Source organism: Homo sapiens, chromosome 14 (genome assembly GCF_000001405.40).
Source record: "Homo sapiens chromosome 14, GRCh38.p14 Primary Assembly".
Taxonomy (NCBI): domain Eukaryota; kingdom Metazoa; phylum Chordata; class Mammalia; order Primates; family Hominidae; genus Homo; species Homo sapiens.
This window is the reverse complement of record NC_000014.9, coordinates 88,122,836-88,146,840: the sequence shown is the minus strand read 5'-3', so window position 1 is coordinate 88,146,840 and position 24,005 is coordinate 88,122,836. Positions and strand designations below refer to the sequence as shown.

General features: G+C 43.9%; 1 long non-coding RNA gene across 1 annotated transcript; it reads right to left on the bottom strand.

The window, feature by feature from the left end:
* Positions 1 to 337: 337 nt before the first annotated feature.
* Positions 338 to 4,260, bottom strand: LOC107984699 (uncharacterized). The gene is made up of 2 exons (XR_001750851.2): positions 3,543 to 4,260; positions 338 to 2,346 (listed from the first exon to the last, which is right to left on the bottom strand). It is a non-coding gene; the product is annotated as an uncharacterized LOC107984699 (long non-coding RNA).
* Positions 4,261 to 24,005: the final 19,745 nt, after the last annotated feature.

Here is a 24,005-nt window from a genome sequence, read left to right as displayed (position 1 = left end):
GGTAGTAGTGAAATGGGAAAAGTTCCCTTGTCCCCCCTCGCAAGGCATGTGATGCAGGTGTGACTTGATTCTTCAATGCCCCGCTGCTCAGACCTCTAGGGGAGCATACAGACAGGCGGGCTGTGGGGCTCTGATCCCACAGCAGTGTCTAGGGGTGAATGTTTAAAGCTAAAGCCCCAGTGGGTGTGTGTTACAGGATACTCTTTTAGTTTTGCCATCCATAGGCAGCTGTGTTAGCCAGCACAATTAGATCCCTGCCTTATCCCAAGGACAGAGGGCTTTCTCTGTCCTGGGGTTCTTGCCTTGGTGTACTGGAAGAATCAGATCACATGTGGGCTTGGAGAAGGAGTGCAAGGTTTTATTAAGTGGAAGTAGCTCTCAGCAGATGGGGGAGCCAGAAGGGAGATGATTTTTCCCTGGAGTTGGGCCAGTTGGTGGCCCTAGCTCTCCTCCAACTGCCCCAGCCAAACTCCGCATTGTTCCGCTGGTTGGTGGCCTGCCAGCACGCTGGTGCCTGTCGGTGTGCGCCTCTCAATGTCCCGATACCCGTGTGCATGTCTTTCTTCACTGGTGGTGCTCTTCCTTATGTCCAGCACCTGTGTGTCTATCTGCTAGGGTCTTGGAGAATGAGTGCCAGGTTTTATTGAGTGGAAGTAGCTAGGGTCTCAGGGGTTTTTATAGACACAGGATAGGGGCATGGTAGGCCAGGTTGGTCTTGGGTAATGCAACCATAGGGCAGGAAAACAAAAATTCCTGTCCACACTTAGATCCATAGGCACAGGTCCGGGGATGGAACTCTAGCCACAGACCATGCCCTTTTCTACCCAGCACTTCTCTTCCCCCACTTCGATATCATTTAAAGGGACCATGCTCTTCCATTTCCAGCAGTTCCCTTCTGGATCATTTCTACCCTCTGAAGAGGTACACCTAATTGCCATTAGAATACGGATGATGATTAGTCCTAAGTGCTTCCCACAGACAGGGGGCATTTGTTTTTGGGGAGAACGGCAGTCAGATTCCTCCCAGAGGTCTATCTAAGGGTTCCAAGCAAAGGGAGCCAATGGATTCTAGGAGTGAGAGGAAGAAAAAGTTTCATAAGGTTAAGTATGCGTGGGTTCAACATGTGTATTATACAAGGAAAGAATTTAGTGCCAAAGATTACAGAGATAACAACAACATTGTGCCCCAGGCTGTTTCACCCTGGTGAAGGAAATTAAACCTTGTGTTGGAGCAGATAAACTTTAGAAGAGAGATATCTGTTCTTGCCATATCTTTAGCAGTCAACAGGTGCCCCCTGGAATTCTGGGGTTTGTGGGCTTGCATGGTGGCCATTAAAGCCTCTGTATATCTATCAGAGTCACCTGAAAACTTGCCAAGATCCCCCTTAATTTGCTTTAAGTCCTGTAGGGAGAAGGGGACCTGGACATCACTGGGCCTAAATTCACTGGGCATCTGTTGTAGGGGCAAGAGTGAGACTGGGGCTTGTTTAGGGTGAGGATTTCTTGGAGGGGGCAAGTGAGAGGCTGAAGCTGGATAGGGAGGTCGGGGTGGACCCAGAGGAGCAGGACTTGAGGGAGCTGGCTCCTTTGCTGGGAGTGCCTCTGGGACTTGTATCTTTAATTGCCTGGGCTTGCCCCTTGCAGCCTTTCCTGAGATGGCAAGCAGGAGGTCTGGATCAATCCTATATTGTTGGCCAAAGGCCTGGATTGCCTTGCAAGGTATAGACAGCCTGCTCACATGGGCCTCAGAACCGTCTATCCTCACATCTATAGAAATGTTTCAATTGCTGGATGGTATTGTAATGAATGGTTCCTTCCTGAGGCCAAGCCAGTCCTTCCTGTAAATCATAATTTGGGATTTCTATGAGGGGGCAAGTGAGAGGCTGAGGCTGGATAGGGAGGTTGGGGTGGACCCGGAGGAGCAGGGCTTGAGGGAGCTGGCTCCTCTGCTGGGAGTGCCTCTGGGACTAGTATCTTTAATTAATTCCCTGGGCTTGCCCCTTTCAGCCTTTCCTGAGATGGCAAACAGGAGGGCTAGATCAATCCTACATTGTTGGCAAAGGTCTGTATTGCCTTGCAAGGTATAGAAACCTGTACATATCGGCCTCAGAACTGTCTATCCTCACATCTACAGAAGAGTTCTAATTGTTGAATGCCATTGTAGTGAATGGTTCCTTCCTGAGCCCAAGCCAGTCCTTCCTGTAAATCATAATTTGGCCAAACCTTTGTGCAGAGGGCTATGAGGCCATTTTCCTCCAGATTCTGAGGATCAAAGCAGTCCCAATTGTTCAGGATACACTTTAGAGGAGTATAAGCTGGGGATGGTGAAGAGAACTGGTTGCACATTCTGAAAGACAGAGAATAGAAGTGTCCCTCATTTCCCTTCCTCCTTCCAGTGAAAACTCAGGGCGTGATGGAGAGAGAACGCGAGCATCCTCCTTTCACTTTCCACCTCTTGTCCCTGAGCCCCGGCGACCTTGGCAGGTGCTGGCTGGCCCCAGGTAACAATGTAGTATGTACCCATGAAGCAGGGAAAACCTGGATAATAGGAATTAACCACCCTCACCTGTACCTTCCTTTCTCCCTGCTGTTGGCAAACTTCGAGTTCCCTGGGCTTGTTTATGCCATGAAGCATGGCCTTCTTCCTTGAGGTGGGGTTCAGTCAGCAGAAATTGGTCCTGCTCATTTACATTGTGCCTGTTTGCCTGAATTTGGATTCCTCAGACCTGTTCTTTCTTTCTAGGGCCTCAGCCTAAGCTTGGAATTGAGTTTGGGACTAAAAAGTCATCTCGGAGGATGTTTGTATCCACTTAGTGTCTCAAATAAGCCCTGCAGAATTTGCTCTTCTAGCCAGCAGGGGTTGCTCCTCTGTTAATTTCCCTATTAGAAACAGAGTGTTGTGGGCGGGGGGAGGCCCTCTCACTTAGAAAAGGAAAAAAAGGGAAAAACATTTAAAGGGGCAAAAAAGGGGAGAATGCTTGGGGAAGAACCCCTTGCTTAGTGCAAGTGGGCCCCTCTAATCCTTATAACTTTCCCATCCTTTTCCCAGTTCAGACCAGGTTGAATTTCTTGGCCAGGGGAGGAAAGGTTCCCATTGACTCAGTGGGCAAGAAGCACCCTGTAGGGTCCTGGCTATCACCTCGGCTTCCTCCCGCCCCCCTCATGGTTGTTGGACTCTGCCTTTGCCTGTTGTGGGCACACCCAGGTGCCCAAGCTGGGAGGGGAAAGAGTAAGAAGAGGTGCCTTGAACCGTGTGTGCCTGCAGCTGCCAAGGTGGAGGCATACATGGCACCTCTAGAAAAAATTGGTCTGATTTGCACCTTTGTGGCTGAGCCAAACACTTATTTTACTTAGTAACATTGCTGCAGCCTGTAGCAAAACTCTTAACATTGTAAAGAAAGAGATAAGAGCCATTTCAAATTGTGTGTGAGAGAGGAAAGAGACGAAAGAAAAACAGAGCCTCTTACCTGCAGGAAAGAGAGAGAGGTGGCAGGGTTTTGAAAGAAAGGCAGACCTGACAGTTTCATGTTTGCTCACACTTACCTTCTGCGATCCCAGACGATCCCCAGTTGTAATGGGAAGTTTCCTTGTCCTCCTCGCAGGGCATATGATGGGATATGACTCGCTTCTTCAGTGCCTTGCTGCTCCAGCCTCTAGGGGAGCATACAGACGGGCAGGCTGTGGGGCTCTGACTCCACGACAACGTCTAGGGCTTGAGTGTTCACAACTGAAACCCCAGTGGGCATGTGTTACAGTAGACTCTGTTAGGGTCCATAGGTGGCTGTGTTAGTCAGCTCAGTTAGACCCCTGCCTTATCACATGGACAGAGGGCTTTCTGTATCCTGGGGTTCTTGCCTTTGTGTACCGGAAGAATTGGATCACACATGGGCTTGGAGAATCACTTGGGTTTCACTGAGAAGTGTCACTGGAGGAAGAGCTCTGAGCAGATGGAGGAGCCATAAGGGAGATGGATTGTCCCCTGGAGTCTCTCCGGGGATGGTTTTCCCCAGAGCTCTCCTCCAACTTCCCCAGGCAAACTCTGCCGTCATTCTGCCAGTTGGTGGCCTGCTGGGATGCTGGTGCCTGTCAGTGTGTTCCTTTCAACATCCAGCTGCCCGTGTGTTCCTCCGCTGATGTGCTCCTCTTGACTTCAGCTGCCTGTGTGTCTCCCCGCTAGGCTCTCGGGGGTTTTTATAGGCACAGGATGGGGTCATGGTAGGCCAGGGTGGTCTTGGGAAATGCAACATTTGGGCAGGAAAACAAAAATTCCTGTCCTCAACTAGGTCCATGGGCACAGGCCCAGAGGTGGAGCCCTAGCCAGGGACCATGCCCTCCTCTAGCCAGCACTTCCTTTCCCCTCTTCTGTATCATTTAAAGGGACCACACTCTTCCCTTCCCAGCACTTCCCTTCCGTATCAGCAGCAGTCACTGCCATCAACACCCATTTAGACTAACTCAGTGGCTTTAACTTCTCACATCCTAAAAGCTCCATCAAGATCCACCAAATTGGTAGCTGTACAGAAAAACCACCTATGGGGAGATGGATCATGCCATGTCCCCTTGAAGACAAGCAGCTGTAATCCCCCATTATTTTAAATAACATTTCTTTTCCTTCTTCAAATGTTGAGACTGGGCATGAAAGAATGAAAAGAATACAAAGGTTAGAGGAGTGTGCACCCAGCTCCCAGCTCTGCTAGGACCCAGGAGACTATGAATTGCTCTTGTTAGGTTTTCTCCTGGATTTACCACCTTTGCTGTGTGTTGGTGGTGAGTGTGCTACTCAAATAGATAACTTGGGAAATTTCATGGAATTGATCATTCAAGACTTCTGTTCAACGTGACCTTCGGTGAGTTCTTAGCAAAAAGGGAAATGGTGTTTCAAATACAGTAGCCTTCGCTTTATAAGTGTGACCCTTTCCCTAAGAGATTCTGCTCATACATGGGGCCTCATATGTCACAAGCCCACCCCTGCCTCCTCTCTGCCTCCTTTCTCACATGTTACCGTCAAAATGTCTTCTCTATGGAGCCTGTTCACTGTGTGAGCAGGGACCCAGTGCTGGGCATGCCAGTGACAGTAACTTTTCCTAAGTGAGTAAAGTAAGGAATAAAAGGCTGCTTGAGAGTTGTGGTTTTCCTTTTCTTTTTTGCAGCCTCCATCAACTCTGCATCTGTTGTAAGGCTTACTTTCCAGTAACCTTTCTTTCCTGCTATTTCATAAATTGCCAATGGAAATTAGACCCTCCCACACCCACCCTGAGGATGCACAGGCTGCTTAATTTGCCACCCAGATGGAATTCTGCCATGGTTTCATTCAGCAAAATGTTAACTTCTTAGAAACCATGACAGCCTCTGCTGGAGCAATGATAACCCCATGCGCTGACCAGGAAGAGCCAAAATCAAGAGCAGCCCCAGTTATCCTTTTGTGAGGTGGAAGTGAGGAAAGGTGCCTCTGAGAGGGAACAGAATTTGTGGTATACTCAATTCCATTTGCAGAACAAATGGCTAAAAATCAAAACTCAGGGCTAAGTCAGAGATTTCTTTTCCACCTCTGTCTCCGTAGCGTATATCAGAATATGCTATTTATTCAGGATCAGTTCATTGAATTATATACATGTTTAATTTCCAAAGAAACAGTATGTAGATTGAATTGCTGGCTGCTCTTACCTTAAACTGGCTGGAATCACCTCATTTTGGATGATTCCCAGGAAGGGCTGCGAAGTGCCTCAGGAGAATGTGCAGACCAGGACCCGGGACAGCACTCCAGAGGCCCACAGGGGATTTCTGCTCTGTGAGAGGGAGCAGGCATTCATGTGGGGGCAAAGCTGCATGGCTAGGAATTATCTCTCAATAGGTGTCCCACCAGTCATCCTGAGCCACTAAAGCCATATGGGAAAGAAGCAACTTCAGGATGAGGTCTGGCCTGCTAGGTGGTCTGGAGAACGCAGGGCACAGGGAGGCCTTCCCTGGACATTGCATTACTCAAAATCAAAAGGAAGCATTTGAACATCCACCCCACGAGAGCCCGAGCCCCAACTTGCATCAGGGAAAAAGAAAAAAAAATCACTTCAGCGTGATACTCAGTTTCTTTGCTTTTAAAAATTTGAAATGGCAAAATGAGGGCAAATCTACTGCCTGGACTGATGCTTGAAATGCCCTCCTTTCCTCTTAAATGGTCTAAGTATCTGAAAAACACATAAATATGAAAACTCTTTCAAAAACCTTCCTAGGTAGATCTGAGGGGAAAGAGGGTGGGAAGTGAGGGAGTCTAGAAGGATTGGGCTGTGGAATTTCCTATATGGTAAAATGTTTGAGAGAGTGTGCTTTGCCAGGGCCTAAACCTAGGAAACATGCAAGGCAAGAGCAGAATGGGTTGTTGAGCCAGATAAGGTGATTGAAATGGGTCCCTGCCTGAGATCAAGAGCCACAGAAAGAAGGGGAAAATGATTAGTCAGTTAGGTCTTGGCAGGACTAAGCAGGAGGCTATCACCGGGTGAATCCACTAATGGGGTATTGTTCTTGCATGCAGTGGTCTTCTATATGCCTTCTTAAGAGGAATGCACAGGTGCACTTTGCTGTATTTAAATGTTCAGGGACAGGGCTGACCCCTCTCTTACCTTTAAGTAACATACTTAACGATCACAACAGGCTGCTCCTGTATCCCCTGATGGAAGGGTGTGCTAGAGATGGGAAAGAGACCACCCAGAAATTCGTGGTCTATGCCATTCCTGGTGGAAGTAGGTACCAAAGTTGGCCATGGTGCCCATGGAGACAGATGCTTCCCTAGTGATGAAATCTAGGACCCCAAGCTGGGTCACCGGAAGATGTGGGCAGAGAGCCAGGAACTAATTGAATCAGGCACAGCAGCACCCATGGACAGCTGGTCACAGGACCGTGCCTGTGAAGAAAGTTTGACAGAACTGGAAGGCTATTGGGTTATGACCTAGGTTACTTCAAAAGGCTTCTGGCAGTGGTTTCCCAGTTTAGGCACGGGAAAATGGTGTATCTCCTATTTTCCATAAAAAGAAAAAGGATAATTTCTACTTGACTGGAATATATCATAAGCAGTAGAACTTAACATCACTTGGGTCATGGATTCCTATAAGAGCTGATGAAAGCTATAGAACATTTTTGCAGAAAAAAATGAGAAACATTGCATACCATTTCAGTGTGTTTAGCAACCCATTGATGCCCACCTATGGGTCCTGATTTGAGGACCACTGACTTTCACCTTTTTTTTTTGGCACAGCAGAGGTGTTTAGGAATCTCCTAAGGTATTGGCCAGTTGTCGAAGTGTTAATGGGAATATTAGGAAGTGATGGAGCTGATGTCAGAAGGGATGTTCTGGGTGGAGAAATCCAGCGAGTTGTGCAAAAAGTCTATTCGTGGGCAGACCTGGTTTGTTGTTTGCAAGATACTCTTCCCTCCCCAGAACATGTACCATCTGTCTTCTGCACCATGTGTGGAGGACAGTGGATAGATAGATGCCTTTAATAGCTCCTCAAAATCTGTGATACCTATTGGATGCTAAGGTTGGAGATATGCTAGCTGTATGGTGAATGCATATTGGAGAGTTCCTTGTCAAACTAGGTAGCAGTGGCTGGTGCCACATTACCAGCAGAGTGAACTCCAACAGAAATAGACGGAAAGTGGAGCACCTCTCACCTGGCCCTGTGGCTGCTGGATGAGTTAGAGAAGACTACAAAGCTGAGAGGAGCACCTCCAAAAGGTTACACCCAGACCCAGAATGAGAAAAGTAGCAAATTCGTGACTTGGGAAGATAGACTGCAATAATACAGATAATGCCAAGGTCAAGGATCTTGCTGAGTGGTCAGTAAAGGAAGAGCCAGGGAGTCTCACCCTTCTACATGGTTCTCTTAGTATCCTGTGTGTCTGGGAGAGCCAACTTGGAAACTCTGTGGATATGTCCTATTGGACAGTTTAGTACTTCACACTTGAAATAATTTGATTCCAATTTGTCAAAAGGAGGCTTTTAGTGGCCCTAGAAGGCAGTCTCATTTGAGTTGTCAATGATTGCAGCTTACCAGTGTTCAAAGTCTCTTCCAGTTTCCTGCCCCCTTGGACAAGCCTCGTGCCAGGGCACACATCCTCTGCCCACCTTCTGCTGGTGTGAGTGCTCGCTAGAGCCTTCTGCTTTAATGCTCTCCCAACTCCTGTCAGAGGGCTGGTGTTTTCTACTGGCTCTCTGAGGGTTCTCAGAAAAGCTTGAGAAGCTCTCTTCTTATCTGTGCAGTGAAGAGTCTTATGCAGAGAGGGCTGCTTTAGCTAGAAAAGCCCAAAGTTGGAGAAACATCTCTACTGAAATGTATCCATGGACACTATTTTTTTTCCAACTCTCTAAATCAGGATACATGGACTCCTATGTGTGTGAGATGGTCAGGAGATGCAGTTTGGATGAGAAAGTGTTGAAGTATCAATTGGTTATACAACAGGACTGAATATTTGAAATCAGGACTGTTCTGGAAAGCTTAGCATGGGAGGAGGGGTCCCATACGTTGACGCCGGTGCCCTTCCAGATTTCTCCCAAATAAAATGTGCTCTTCTAAAGTAAGTTCCCTGATTATTCAACTGTGTGCTCTCATGAGGCACTGAGACAAATACACCAAAATACACCCAAACCTGTCTACAGTCATGGTTAAATGCAAATTCTATGCATATGTTTCTGTTCAGTGATTAAGAATGTAAAAAGCTTTTTGGCACTTGTTAGTTGAATGATTTATACAATACTCCTCTTTGCTCTTCCTCCCTTCTCTTCCAGAGCCTGTGAACTTGTTGTTTCTGAAAAAGGAGTCAGTTGCTATTGGAATATTATTTAAGGAGACACATGTCAATGCCATTCTACAAAAATGGTACTAGTTTACGCCATGACTTAAAAGGGTGATGGGTTACACATTAGAATTTGGTAGCACGATCAGGTGATTTATACTTTGTAAGACATGGTCACAGTAGGGAGTGTCTGAAGGGGTAGATCCTTCACCAATATCACCTGTGTGGTAGGGTAGACTATGGACCATTGAGTCCAGCCACAGATCCTTGCAGCTGAGGTTTATGTAGGTGGGCACAGTTTTCCTGGAAGGCTCAGCAAACTCTTATCATGAGGTTGTATCTAGGTCAGGGAAATTCAAGGAAATTCAGGGAATAGCAGCCAGCATGGATCCAGGCACAATGTTGTGGCCTGGGCACCACTCCTCCATCTGTCTCCAGGCAGGCAGCTTAACACTATGCCCTACCAGATGGGGGATGGGGTCAGAAGGGACAGGAGGGTGAACAGAAGCAACTCAACCACTTCCTTCTTTCAGGCCTGGCTTAGTTTGGAACTAGACTAGGGTTTGGAGAGCCTGAGTGTGGAAGGGGAAATGGAGAGCTGGCGTAGGAATGTGGATGCACTGAGAGGTTATTCACACCAGTGTTCTGGAAAGCAGGAAACTTCTCTGGTGAAAGTCAAACTGTATGAAAACAGTGATGTAGAGAGAGATGCTTGATGTATTTGTAGAGGTTGATAATAAAGTTGAGCAGTAGCAAAAGGAAGAAGACTTTTCAGAGTTTACCCAATCAAACTTGGACAAGTGGCAAACCGTCTGTCCAATCTGATCCCAGGGTTTGCTGCCTTGCTGTTTGCCTCTCCCTACTTAGAACGCCTCCTAGGAGATGGTGGAAGCTGGTGCACTATCTTCAATCCACAATTGTTTGCCTCTTTACCTTGGGTCCCCCCAACCCACCCCATCCAGGCAGCCCATTTCTACTTGTACCCTGTGCATCTTGCAATCTGGCCTGATACTTGGCTCCAGAGCTTTGCCCGATGAGAATTAGGCCTTTGAATCCTTGGTTCCCTCCCATCCTGACCACTGTTTAATCTATCTCTCTATTCCTGCCTCTCCTAGACACTTGACCCTGGAACTCAGCTTGGCCAAACCTGCCTCCGATCCAAATTGTGTTCTCGGTTATAACTTCATCAATGGCGTTTCTCCAAGGCCAAAGTCAAACCTCTGCCAGAGGAAGATGTAAATATTCAGAGCAAAATATTGCATACCTGGCCCACATGAGTCACTTATGAGGAAGAGGGAGTTAGTTCTAAGAATAATAATTATCTTTTGGGTGAGATTTAAATTCAGGTCCAGAGCATCTCTTAGAAAACCATGGATACAAGCAGCTTGTTAACAGCAGTATCAGGTTCTTGGAGTCTGTATAAAATCTGGCCCATCGATTCAAACAAAACTGGTATGAAATAGCATTTCTCTTCATGTCTGAGGTTCCAGTGGTGGTTGGCTTCCTTCTTATTTCTTGCCGTGTGTGGCTGTTTTCTTGCCAGCCTCAGATTATGCACTTACGTGTTTTCCAAAAAATCAAAACCATTTCCAATACTCTTGTTATGTGTTATTTTATTCTTATCCTTTAATTGATCCAACAGCTTTCCTTTCAGACTAAATTGGCTTAATTGTACCCCAGAGATGCCCACAAAATGCTGAATTGAATGAGCAAGGCCCTCGGTCTCTGATAGAGGCATCGTACTCTATAGCCCTAGTGAGACGTTGCTGTCCACTGGCAGTCTTTTGTCTTTTGGGTTATTCAAATACTCTGACTAAATATATGTGTGTATATGTGTATTTCAGACCAAAGCTTCAAAGGTGGCAAAACACTATGGCAAAAACAGGTAAGTTTATAATTTCAGTTTTACAATTAACATTAGTAGCCTGATTTATACATGTTTTGCTATACCTATTCTCCAGTAAATATTATTCAAGAAATTCATGGATTTTTTTTTTGGAGGGAAAGGAAATTTGTGTGTTTTAAATATGCAGAGTCTGGAGAAGTTGGGCAGATGACCTAATAGAGTCAGGCCCTGCCTCCATGGATGTCCTATAATGCCAAGCTCTGCTGGGCTGATGCCTGTCTCAGGCTGGTAGCTCAGGGAGTGTGAGGAACAGTTAGCATGGCTATGCTGAAGTTACATTTAGGGTGTGTTTAGCCCTTAACAGAGACACTTGAAGAAGAGCTTCCTCTAGAGATTAATTTCCGGCTGGTGTCAATAATGCTTTGGGCTCCCAAACACCTCTGCATGCACTTTTATTTCCAGGAAATGCTGTTGCTTTAATCGTGATTGCTCAAATAAGCAGCCTTTGCCCACTAAAATAGAATTTATATTTGAGAAACTGTATTTGATGGGGGCTTCTTCCTCAGATAGCAATCAGACTTTCTTATTTGGAGAGGAATAAGACAGCTAGCATAGTTCCCTCGGAGTGGTAAAGAGGACAACTTATGATGGCTAGTGGAGTTCTTCCTGACCTCCTGAATGTAGACAAAACCCCAATTCAGAGGATGGATTTTCTTGAGAGATCCTAGTAGCTTCATGATATGATGGCAATGTGGACAGGGTTTGTCTTTTGTTATTAAAATTGACATTTCTACATGTGAAGATGCATATTTAGGAGTTATATTACCTAAACATAAAAAAAAACCCAAAACAAAGCCCCAAACCTAAAAATATAGATATAATGCTTTTTCTTCCCACAAACACAGAGTTTCATCTCTGAATGATGTGCTTGGTCAAGCTAGCTGTAATTTTACACAGTTGTGGGACACTTGAGAAACAGCAGAAGAAAAGCCATGGGCACAAACACAAGCCTAAGTTTCTTTGTCCTTTCTTTGGGGTCTATATATTTAGTAGATGTGTGCCTCCCCTTCCCTGATGATTGTTTATGGTTAGAATCTGTTCTGATTGGTCGGTGCCTGTACCATATACCAGTTGTTGAATATTTTGAACATCAGCTCCACCTAGCTTAGAATAATTGGGAAACGAATAGCATCTTAAAGGATGTGAATGAGACAGAGAAAACACTCCCAGATGGGGTCAGTCCCAGTCAATAAAAAGGGGGATAGGATGGTGAGGGGCAATTGACTAGACCTCTCCAAGTAGGCACTAGTGAATTTGAGCCTTTTAAAGCCTTTCCTAAAAGGTCCAAGTGCGAAGAACACATTGACATGTGAAACCTGGGAATGGGAGTGGGCTGAAAAGTGAGACCAGGCCAGGGTTCAGGGACAGATGGGAACTGTGAGTTCTGAGGCCAGGCAGGTGCCCAAGTGAGGACAATGAGCAGAGCCATAGTGCAAATGGCTTGAGGCAACCTGTTGCCACTCATATGGCTGGTGGAGCTAGTTGATCTCTCTGAAGGCACTGAGTGACGCTAGGTAGAGCTTGTGTATCCTGCCCTCTCAACTGTTTCTTCTCCTCCTTTCCTGGTATTGAGCACTAATACCAGAGGGCTGGCCCAGACTGAAAAGTGTCCTGTGGTGTACCTTGGCTGAGGCTCAGCTCCTCTACTTGCCCTCCTACTCACCATATCCTTGTCATGGTCCCCATTTCTTGCGAGAGTGTGTAGAATGAATCCCAGTTGATAATTCATGTGTATGCCTATTTTGTCAGTGCTGGGAACCGTGAAAAAGAAATGGTCAAACTTAAACTTGCCTTATGCTGTGGTTATGACATATAACCATCCCTTCAACTTTCAATAGGTTTGATGTGTATAAGAATTCAAGCATATGACTGCTTTGGTTTTTCCTATCAAATTCACTATGTTACAGACAATTTAATGTCACAGGATTCCTCCAGAGCTTTGCTCCCATCTCTGTGCTGGGCTGCACTGTGAATAAATCTTTTCTCTACTAAAAATTCCTGGAAATGACAAGTATTTGGCTTTAGGGTGCTTTATGTGGCTTTTTCCTTGAGCAGATCAACGATCTACTTCCTTCTGAGGCATGATATTGAGTTAGATTTTATTCCTTAATGTCACACCAACACAAGGGGCAGGTGAGCCAGGCACAAACTGAACTGGGAGAAGATGAACATTTTCCTCTCAATAAATCACATGGGGGTAACTGAGAGTGGATGTCATTTATAAAGTTCAACACTGTCTCCCATCTTTTGGTATGCTTTAGGTTGAATGCTTCAGATGATGTTTTTTGGAGTTAAAAGAAACATTTTATGTTTAATGAACGAATGTATGTTGCTGGTTATGGATTTTCAATTTCTAGTATTTATGTAGCCAGTTTTCATAATGTAATGTTTTAGTGTCTTATGGAAGTAAAGTCTTGAAGACCCATCCAAGTGGTGTAAAAGCCCCTTGAAAATTGGTTGGTGCTTCTTTGGGGAATGGACACCCAATGTCCTGCAGAGGGATCAAGGTACACAGGGTTGGGATTAGACACATCACTCTGGGTGGAGGGCCAGAGCTAAGGACCCCTTGGCATTAGCCAAAGAGAAATCCAGTAGAGATGGGGAGATCACCACTGAAGCAGACATCTCCGTCACTTCATCTTCTGATGTTTCTGTCCTAGTTGGGGTAAATCCTCATTCATAAAGAGGAAGAATCTGTGTAACAGCCTATGGAAAGATATTTTTCTGTCTTCACTGCAACTTCAGCTAAAGCCTTAAAGCTGATGGTGAAACCAAGGTCTAATCTTTTTAGTTACTTGCTTCTTGTTGATTTTTTAACCTACATTGCTGAAAAGCAGGCTGCTATATGCTGTAACTTAGCCTTCACAAGCTTCCTTATAGATAATACCTCTGATGTATTGATTAATGTATTAATACCTCTGATGTATTGATGCATTGATTGCTTAAGTTGTTTCTCAGGAACTTAGGGTCAGCTCTTGTCCGGCTTGAACCAGTTGAGACCACTTGGCCTGTGCAAATGCCCAAGTGGTGGCCTTTTGATGTCATAGAGCCAAAAACTCCTCCCTCAGATCATGCTAACACCACCATTTTCTGAATATGTGTCTTATGAAGAGCCATGAACCCTGACTGTTTGGCAGATCACAGACCACCTCATTTTTCCCACTGTTGTTCACCTTTCCCTATGTCTTAGGCCAATCCACTTCTTTACCCCATATATATCCTTCAACCCTATCTTTGGAGAGGTGGATTTGAGAGCTATTCTCTCATCTCCATACTGGATTGCCCTGTGAATCAATATATTCTATACTGCAAAACTTGTTGTCTCAGTGATTGGCTTTCTAGATGATGAGCAGAATGAACCTGCCTCACTATCAAGGGCAATGGGTGAAAAATAACTCGGCATTCAGGACTTTCCAGGAGGAACCAGACTTATCCTTGTAATATCTGCACCCATCATCCAAGTCCACTTGGAGGAGACAAGAGAAGAGGAAAGGTTGTTATTTCTTTTTGCTCTCCTTCATTAGCCAAATGAAGAGGATGCAATAAAACCATGATAACTTCTCATAGACTTTGGGGTTATACCACGATAACTTCTCATGGGCTTTGGGTTGTCTGCTTGAAGGGGAAAACATGTCACATGACATTCCCTAGCTGAATGTCTTTTGGGGTTCAGAAACTCATTAGCTTGCCTTGGGCTGCTGTAAGAGCCAAGTTCACTAGAAAGCTTCACAGGTGTCCCCTGAAGAAGTCTAAATGTGGGAGGTTGGCTGGGGCAGTGCACAGTAGTAGGGCAAGAAGAACTGGGGTAGTGGCTGGGTAAGCTTCCCTTGCATTGTTTTGAGGGGCAAGAATGTATGCCCCGCAAGGCATCAGACAAATATGTAAAAGGTTCCAGGATCAAGTTGTCTTGAAAGACTGTTGGTTGGCGTAGGGGGGTCCCCAGAGTTACACTGATGGGGCAGGAACTGAAGGGGCTGGGGTCACCATACTTCACCAGAGGAAGCATTGTTTGGGTTAAGAGATGGTACCACAGGAGGTCTTCTTAGTGGTCTTCAATGTACCCATTACTGTCTCTCACAAAATAAGCCAGTATTTACACAATAGAGGCTCTTCAGGAGTCAAGAGAACACTGCAAACAGCACCAATGAAGTAAACATTCTTTTATCTTTTATCTGTCATCACTCTTGTACCTAGAGAACCCAGAAGTAGGCACTGAGTAGAGTGAGGTGATAGGAAAAGACAATGACTCCTCCCCAGATGCTAATTTCCAAGCAAGACTGAGCTGGGTGGGGAAAGAAGTTTTAATTGGATGCAGGGTTAAAGTTTTGATTAAGACTGATCTGGATTAGATTTTTAAGAAGACATTTATGCAGCCAACAGACACATGAAAAAATGCTCATTATCACTGGCCATCAGAGAAATGCAAATCAAAACCACAATGAGATACCATCTCACACCAGTTAGAATGGCAATCATTAAAAAGTCAGGAAACAGCAGGTGCTGGAGAGGATGTGGAGAAATAGGAACACTTTTACACTGTTGGTGGGACTGTAAACTAGTTCAACCATTGTGGAAAACAGTGTGGCGATTCCTCAAGGATCTAGAATTAGAAATACCATTTGACCCAGGCATCCCATTACTGGGTATATACCCAAAGGATTATAAATCATGCTGCTATAAAGACACATGCACACGTATGTTTATTGCAGCACTATTCACAATAGCAAAGACTTGGAACCAACCCAAATGTCCATCAATGATAGACTGGATTAAGAAAATGTGGCACATATACACCATGGAATACTATGCAGCCATAAAAAAGGATGAGTTCATGTCCTTTGTAGGGACATGGATGAAGCTGGAAACCATCATTCTGAGCAAACTATCTCAAGGACAGAAAACCAAACACCGCATGTTCTCACTCATAGGTAGGAATTGAACAATGAGAACACTTGGACACAGGAAGGGGAACATCGCACACCGGGGCCTGTCATGGGGTAGGGGGAGTGGGGAGGGATAGCATTAGGAGATATACCTAATGTAAACGTCGAGTTAACGGGTGCAGAACACCAACATGGCACATGTATACATATGTAAAAAACCTGCACGTTGTGCACACGCACACGTACCCTAGAACTTAAAGTATATATATATAAAGAATGATCTGGATTAGATTTTTTTTAACTCCTGAAGATGGGACAACTTATTAGCGGCTAAAATGGAACTGAAAGTGATGCAATCTGTCCTAGGCATTGGTGGGAAAAAATAAAAATATTTCCTGATTATATCATACCCAGTTAAACTCTGTACCAATCTGATAAAAATCCACATTCCATATATACCAATGCAGCTTTCTTACTCCCTTAGCTACATTGGTTTTATTCTGAAGACCTACCAAGACAGCAGTAATTTCAGGCACAAAATGTCTATCTCCACTCTGGATATTTAAAAGTAGGCAAGAATTCACCCAAGGGGGAGAGAAACATAATGCTTTCCAAGGCAAAAGTATCATGAGGAAGTTCCATTACAGACGGTCTTGCCCTCTGCAAAGCCAGGAGAAGACTCTTTGGGCTCTGGCTGAATTTTTTCCAAGATAGTTTTCATCCCTTCTCCATGGACTTACGTAGCCCCCTTTGTCTCCACTGGGGTGACCAATCCAGTGCTTGCTGAGCCCGCTTTCTTCACAGGAAGAATCACTTTAAAGGATCAAGTTGAGCTCCTTATTGGAACATGGACAGCCACAAGCCTATTATGCCTTTGGAAACATTTCTGACATCTTCTATTGAAAACTCCTGAAAATAATCTAGAAACTCTCTTTCATTATCTATATTCATACCAAGAATCAAAAACAGACAGGGTTTCACTCCACGAGCATTTAGTAGACTGATACTTAAACCCAGACAAATGAGAAATAAGGAAGCCTCCACAGCTTCCTTCCTGAATGACAGAATAATTTGTGCTAATGGTTGGGTCTCTTCCTCTCCCACAAATTGCTTCACTTGGCCATATCTCAACCTGAAGACCATTTTCTTTGGTTGTGTGCTGGTGGCTCCACGTTAAATGTCTTAAGAGGATATTTTTTTAAAGAATAGGAAGGCACTGTTCAAGTCCCCAGGGACTTATCGGAGCTGTTCTTTGTCAGTCCTCTCTTCTGTTGATGACAGAGTGTTGCCTGAGTCATGCTTCCTCCTTGCAGAGGCAGAGACAGGAGAAACAGATGAGCAGGGTTTCAGAAGTGAGAAATCTGAAGTTCTCTTTCCAAATCTGCCATGGACTTCCAACAAAACCTAAGGCTCAAAGCCAAGTATAGCCATGAGTAATTTAAAGCTAGAGGGAGCTGCTGCATAGAGGGCATTCAGAGCCTTCCTGGAAGCTATGCTTATGCTCCCTCTTGTTTTGAAAGAAGTCAGTTCCTAACGCCCAAATTCTAGTCTATAAAGTTTTTTTCTTAATTTAAAATGCTTAAAATCTGGCTTTTGTTCATTTCATTTTTTTTTCCTCTCTGGAACTAGTCAGATTTCTCATTACTAATGCAATATTTTAAATTCTTAAAGGTTGAGTCAAACTATTTTTTAAAATAATATGGAAAAAGCATGGGAAGCATGTTCTTGGCTCCCAAAAGCAGAAAAATTTAGCATCTGGAGGAACCACTGCAATGTGTGGCCAGAAAAGACAATGGATGAAGTCATCTTGGTTGGCAGTTCCTGGTTTTGCAGGAACCATAGGATAAAACTTGTAAAAACTTTTTTTTTTTTTAACTGCAATTTCTTGCTTGAGGGCTCAAGGTCTGTTTTTCCTCATCCTGCAAATTCTTTTTTTTTTTTTTTAAACTGGACTTTCTTGCTTGGGGACTCAAGGTCTGTTTTTCCCCATCCCATCAAAAAATCAACCTTAATTTAAGAGGCCTGGTTGGCCAACTCATACCTAGATTTGGCTTTGGTTGATACTGAAAATTCCTGCAGCAAATGTCTCCTGTTTGGCTCAAATTAGTACATCTCCTTTACTTTTAAAGGCAGGGAGTTGGGATTGCTACTTTTGTTTTAAGCAACTGAGAATGAAGGGGAAGTTGAAACATAGGTACTCCATGAGGGAGTGAGTCTTGAATAGAGACTTCTCAAGTAGCCAAGAAATTGGGGCAAGGGTCACTGAAGGCGGAAGTCAGCCTGCATTCATGACAAGCACCTCCAGTCTCCTTGCTGGCATCAGAATCTTGCATTGAGCCTGCAGCTTTCTTGGCTAGCTGACACTTTTCTTAGATATTTTTATTTTGGGAGAGCAGACCCATCCAGATATCCCCAAGTGATCACTGGAGTAGCCCATTGCAAACAATAGATGACCTAGATTCACTCCACTGCTGGCTTTCTGAATTCCAATTGTCATGCTCTCTGAAAACTTCTAACTATGATTGACCTAACATGTCTGACAGCTGTAAGTATTAATGCTAGTTGAAACATTTCCTGGATTCATCATGTCCTCTGGGGGCTGTGTCTTAGCTTCTGGCTGCTGTTTTGAGTCTCTTGTTAAGGGTGTCTTGACCTCTACAACCAAGTCAGTTCCCCTAGTTTTCACAGTGCTAGCCTCTCTGTTCCCAGTAGGCTACAGCTAAAGGTGTACAGTATGCCTTAATGTTACTTCCATCAGAGTAGTGACACATAGGGGATGCATCCAGAAAGAAATTTTTTGAGAACAGTAATTTTTGAGAACTTCAGAAATTTTTCCATTAGGTGGCCTCTACTCTTGGGAATCTGTGCAGAGGCAGAATTTCAGCTCTTTAGATTATGTACTTAAAAAAATCTACAAGGAAGGTTCCAAGATGGGTGAATAGGAACATATCCAATCTACGGCTCCCAGTGTGAGCAACGCAGAAGATGGGTGATTTCTGCATTTCCAACTGAGGTACTGGGTTCATCTCACTGGGGCTTGTCAGACAGTGGGTGCAGCCCATGGAGCAGGGCAGGGCATCGCCTCACCAGGGAAGCACAAGGGGTCAGGGAATTCCCTTTCCTAGCCAAGGGAAGCCATGACAGATGGTACCTGGGAAATCGGGACACTCCCACCCTAATACTGCTCTTTTCTAATGCTCTTAGCAAACGGCAAACCAGGAGATTATATCCCACACATGTCTCAGAGGGTCCCACACCCACAGAGCCTCGCTCACTGCTAGCACAGTAGTCTGAGATCGAACTGCAAGGTGGCAGCGAGGCTGGGGGAGGGGCACCCGCCATTGCCAAGGCTTGAGTAGGTAAACAAAGTGGCCAGGAAGCTCGAACTGGGTGGAGCCCACCACAGCTCAAGGAGGCCTGACTGCTTCTGTAGACTCCACCTCTGGGGGCAGGGCATAGTGGAACAAAAGGCAGCAGAAACTTCTGCAGACTTAAATGTCCCTGTCTGACAGCTTTGAAGAGAGTAGTGGTTCTCCCAGCACTGAGTTTGAGATCTGAGAACGGACAGACTGCCTCCTCAAGTGGGTCCCTGACCCCCAAGTAGCCTAACTGGGAGACACCTCCCAGTAAGGGGCCGACTGACACCTCATACAGCCAGGTACCCCTCTGAGAGGAAGCTTCCAGAGGAAGGATCAGGCAGCAACATTTGCCGTTCTGGAATATTTGCTTTTCTGCAGCCTCCACTGGTGATACCCAGGAAAACAGGGTCTGGAGTGGACCTCCAGCAAACTCCAACAGACCTGTAGCTGAGGGTCCTGACTGTTAGAAGGAAAACTAACAAACAGTAAGGACATCCACACCAAAACCCAATCTGTCCATCACCATCATCAAAGACCAAAGGTAGATAAAACCACAAAGATGGGGAGAAACCAGAGCAGAAAAGCTGAAAAATCTAAAAATCAGAGCACCTCTTCTCCTCCAAAGGAACACAGCTCCTCACCAGCAATGGAACAAAGCTGGATGGAGAATGACTTTGACGAGTTGAGAGAAGAAGGCTTCACACGATTGGTAATAACAAACATCTCCCAGCTAAAAACAAACTTCTCCGAGCTAAAGGAGGATGCTCGAACCCATTGCAAAGAAGCTAAAAACCTTGAGAAAAGATTAGACGAATGGCTAACTGGAATAAACAGCATAGAGAAGACCTTAAATGACCTGATGGAGCTGAAAACCGTGGCACGAGAACTACATGACTTATGCACAAGCTTCAGTAGCCGACTCAATGAACTGGAAGAAAGGGTATCAGTGAAGGAAGATCAAACGAATGAAATGAAGCAAGAAGAGAATTATAGAGAAAAAAGAGTAAAAAGAAATGAACAAAGCCTCCAAGAAATATGGGACTATGTGAAAAGACCAAATCTATGTCTGATTGGTGTACCTGAAAGTGACGGGGAGAATGGAACCAAGTTGGAAAACACTCTGCAGGATATTATCCAGGAGAACTTCCGCAACCTAGCAAGGCAGGCCAACATTCAAATTCAGGAAATACAGAGAACGCCACAAAGATACTCCTTGAGAAGAGCAACTCCAAGACACATAATTGTCAGATTCACCAAAGTTGAAACGAAGGAAAAAATGTTAAGGGCAGCCAGTGACAAAGGTTGGGTTACCCACGAAGGGAAGCCCATCAGACTAACAGTAGATCTCTCAGCAGAAACTCTACAAGCCAGAAGAGAGTGGGGGACAATATTCAACATTCTTAAAGAATTTTCAACCCAGAATTTCATATCCAGCCAAACTAAGCTTCATAAGTGAAGGAGAAATAAAATCCTTTGCAGACAAGCAAATGCTGAGAGATTTTGTCACCACCAGGCCTGCCTCACAAGAGCTCCTGAAGGAAGCACTAAACATGGAAAGGAACAACCAGTACCAGCCACTGCAAAAACATGCCAAGTTGTAAAGACCATCGATGCCAGGAAGAAACTGCATCAACTAAAGAGCAAAATAACCAGCTAACATCATAATGACAGGATCAAATTCACTCATAACAATATTAACCTTAAATGTAAATGGGCTAAATGCTCCAATTAAAAGGCTCAGACTGGCAAATTGGATAAAGAGTCAAGACCCATGACTGTGCTATATTCAGGAGACCCATCTAACGTGCAGAGACACACATAGGCTCAAAATAAAGGGATGGAGGAAGATCTACCAAGCAAATGGAATACAAAAAAAAAATAGGGGTTGCAATCCTAGTCTCTGACAAAACAGAATTTAAACGAACAAAGATCAAAAGAGACAAAGAAGGCCATTACATAATAGTAAAGGGATCAATTCAACAAGAAGAGCTAACTATCCTAAATATATATGCACCTAATACAGGAGCACCCAGATTCATAAAGCAAGTCCTTAGAGACCTACAAAGAGACTTAGACTCCCACACAATAATAATGGGAGACTTTAACACCCCACTGTCAACATTAGACAGATCAATGAGACAGAAAGTTAACACGGATATCCAGGAATTGAACTCAACTCTGCACCAAGTGGACCTAATAGACATCTACAGAACTCTCCATCCAAAATCAACAGAATATACATTCTTCTCAGCACCACATCACACTTATTCCAAAATTGACCACATAGTTGGAAGTAAAGCACTCCTCAGCAAATGTAAAAGAACAGAAATTATAACAAACTGTCTTTCAGACCACAGTGCAATCAAACTAGAACTCAGGATTAAGAAACTCATGCAAAACCGCTCAACTACATGGAAACTGAACAACCTGCTCCTGAATCACTACTGGGTACATAACAAAATTAAGGCAGAAATAAAGATGTTCTTTGAAACCAGTGAGAACAAAGACACAACATACCAGAATCTCTGGGACACATTTAAAGCAGTGTGTAGAGGGAAATTTATAGCACTAAATACCCACAAGAGAAAGCAGGAAAGATCTAAAATTGATGCCCTAACATCACAATTAAAAGAACTAGAAAAGCAAGAGCAAACATATTCAAAAGCTAGCAGAAGGCAAGAAATAACTAAGATCAGAGCAGAACTGCAGGAGATAGAGACACAAAAAACCCTTCAAAAAATCAATGAATCCAGGAGCCGGTTTTTTGAAAAGATCAACAAAATTGATAGACTGCTAGCAAGATTAATAAAGAAGAGAGAAGAATCAAATAGATGCAATAAAAAATGATAAAGGGGATATCACCACTGATCCCACAGAAATACAAACTACCATCATCAGAGAATACTATAAACACCTCTATGCAAATAAACTAGAAAATCTAGAAGAAATGGATAAATTCCTGGACACATACACCCTCCCAAGACTAAACCAGGAACAAGTTGAATCCCTGAATAGACCATAACAGGTTCTGAAATTGAGGCAATAATTAATAGCCTACCAACCAAAAAAAGTCCAGAACCAGATGGATTCACAGCCAAATTCTACCAGAAGTACAAAGAGGAGCTGGTACCATTCCTTCTGAAACTATTCCAATCAATAGAAAAAGAGGGAATCCTCCCTAACTCATTTTATGAGGCCAGCATCATCCTGATACCAAAGCCTGGCAGAGACACAACAAAAAAAGAGAATTTTAGACCAATATCTCTGATGAACATTGATGCAAAAATCCTCGATAAAATACTGGCAAACCGAATCCAGCAACACATCAAAAAGTTTATCCACCACGATCAAGTTGGCTTCATCCCTGGGATGCAAGGCTGGTTCAACATATGCAAATCAATAAATGTAATCCATTATATAAACAGAACCAAAGACAAAAAACATATGATTATCTCAATAGATGCAGAAAAGGCCTTTGACAAAATTCAACAACCTTTCATACTAAAAACTCTCAATAAATTAGGTATTGATGGGACGTATTTCAAAATAATAAGAGCTATCTATGACAAACCCACAGCCAATATCATACTGAATGGGCAAAAACTGGAAGCATTCCCTTTGAAAACTGGCACAAGACAGGGATGCCCTCTCTCACCACTCCTATTCAACATAGTGTTGGAAGTTCTGGCCAGGGCAATCAGACAGGAGAAAGAAATAAAGGGTATTCAATTAGGAAAAGAGGAAGCCAAATTGTCCCTGTTTGCAGATGACATGATTGTATGTCTAGAAAACCCCATCGTCTCAGCCCAAAATCTTAAGCTGATAAGCAAATTCAGCAAAGTCTCAGGATACAAAATCAATGTGCAAAAATCACAAGCATTCCTATACACCAATAACAGATAAACAGGGAGCCAAATCATGAGTGAACTCCCATTCACAATTTCTTCAAAGAGAATAAAATACCTAGGAATCCAACTTACAAGGGATGTGAAGGACCTCTTCAAGGAGAACTACAAACCACTGCTCAACAAAATAAAAGAGGACACAAACAAATGGAAGAACATTCCATGCTCATGGTTAGGAAGAATCAATATTGTGAAAATGGCCATACTGCCCAAAGTAATTTATAGATTCAATGGCATCCCCATCTAGCTACCAATGGCTTTCTTCACAGAATTGGAAAAAACTACTTTAAAGTTCATATGGAATCAAAAAAGAGCCCGCATTGCCAAGACAATCCTAAGCCAAAAGAACAAAGCTGGAGGCATCACACTAACTGACTTTAAACTATACTACAAGGCTACAGTAACCAACACAGCATAGTACTGGTACCAAAACAGAGATGTAGACCAATGGAACAGAACAGAGCCCTCAGAAATAATGCCACACATGTACCACCATCTGATCTTTGACAAACCTGACAAAAACAAGAAATGGGGAAAGATTCCCTTTTTAATAAATGGTGCTGGGAAAACTGGCTAGCCATATGTATAAAGCTGTAAACTGGATCCCTTCCTTACACTTTATGCAAAAATTAATTCAAGATGGATTAAAGACTTACATGTTAGACCTAAAACCATAAAAACCCTAGAAGAAAACCTAGGCAATACCATTCAGGACATAAGCATGGGCAAGGACTTCATGACTAAAACACCAAAAGCAATGGCAACAAAAGCCAAAACTGACAAATGGGATCTAATTAACCTAAAGAGCTTCTGCACAGTGAAAGAAACTACCATCAGAGTGAACAGGCAACCTACAGAATGGGAGAAAAAGTTTACAATCTATCCATCTGACAAAGGGCTAATATTCAGAATCTACAACGAACTCAAACAAATTTACAAGAAAAAATCAAACAACTCCATCAAAAAGTGGGCAAAGGATATGAACGGACACTTGTCAAAAGAAGACATTTATGCAGCCAACAGACACATGAAAAAATGCTCATCATCACTGGCCATCAGAGAAATGCAAATCAAAACCACAATGAGATACCATATCACATCAGTTAGAATGGCGATCATTAAAAAGTCAGGGAACAACAGATGCTGGAGAGGATATGGAGAAATAGGAG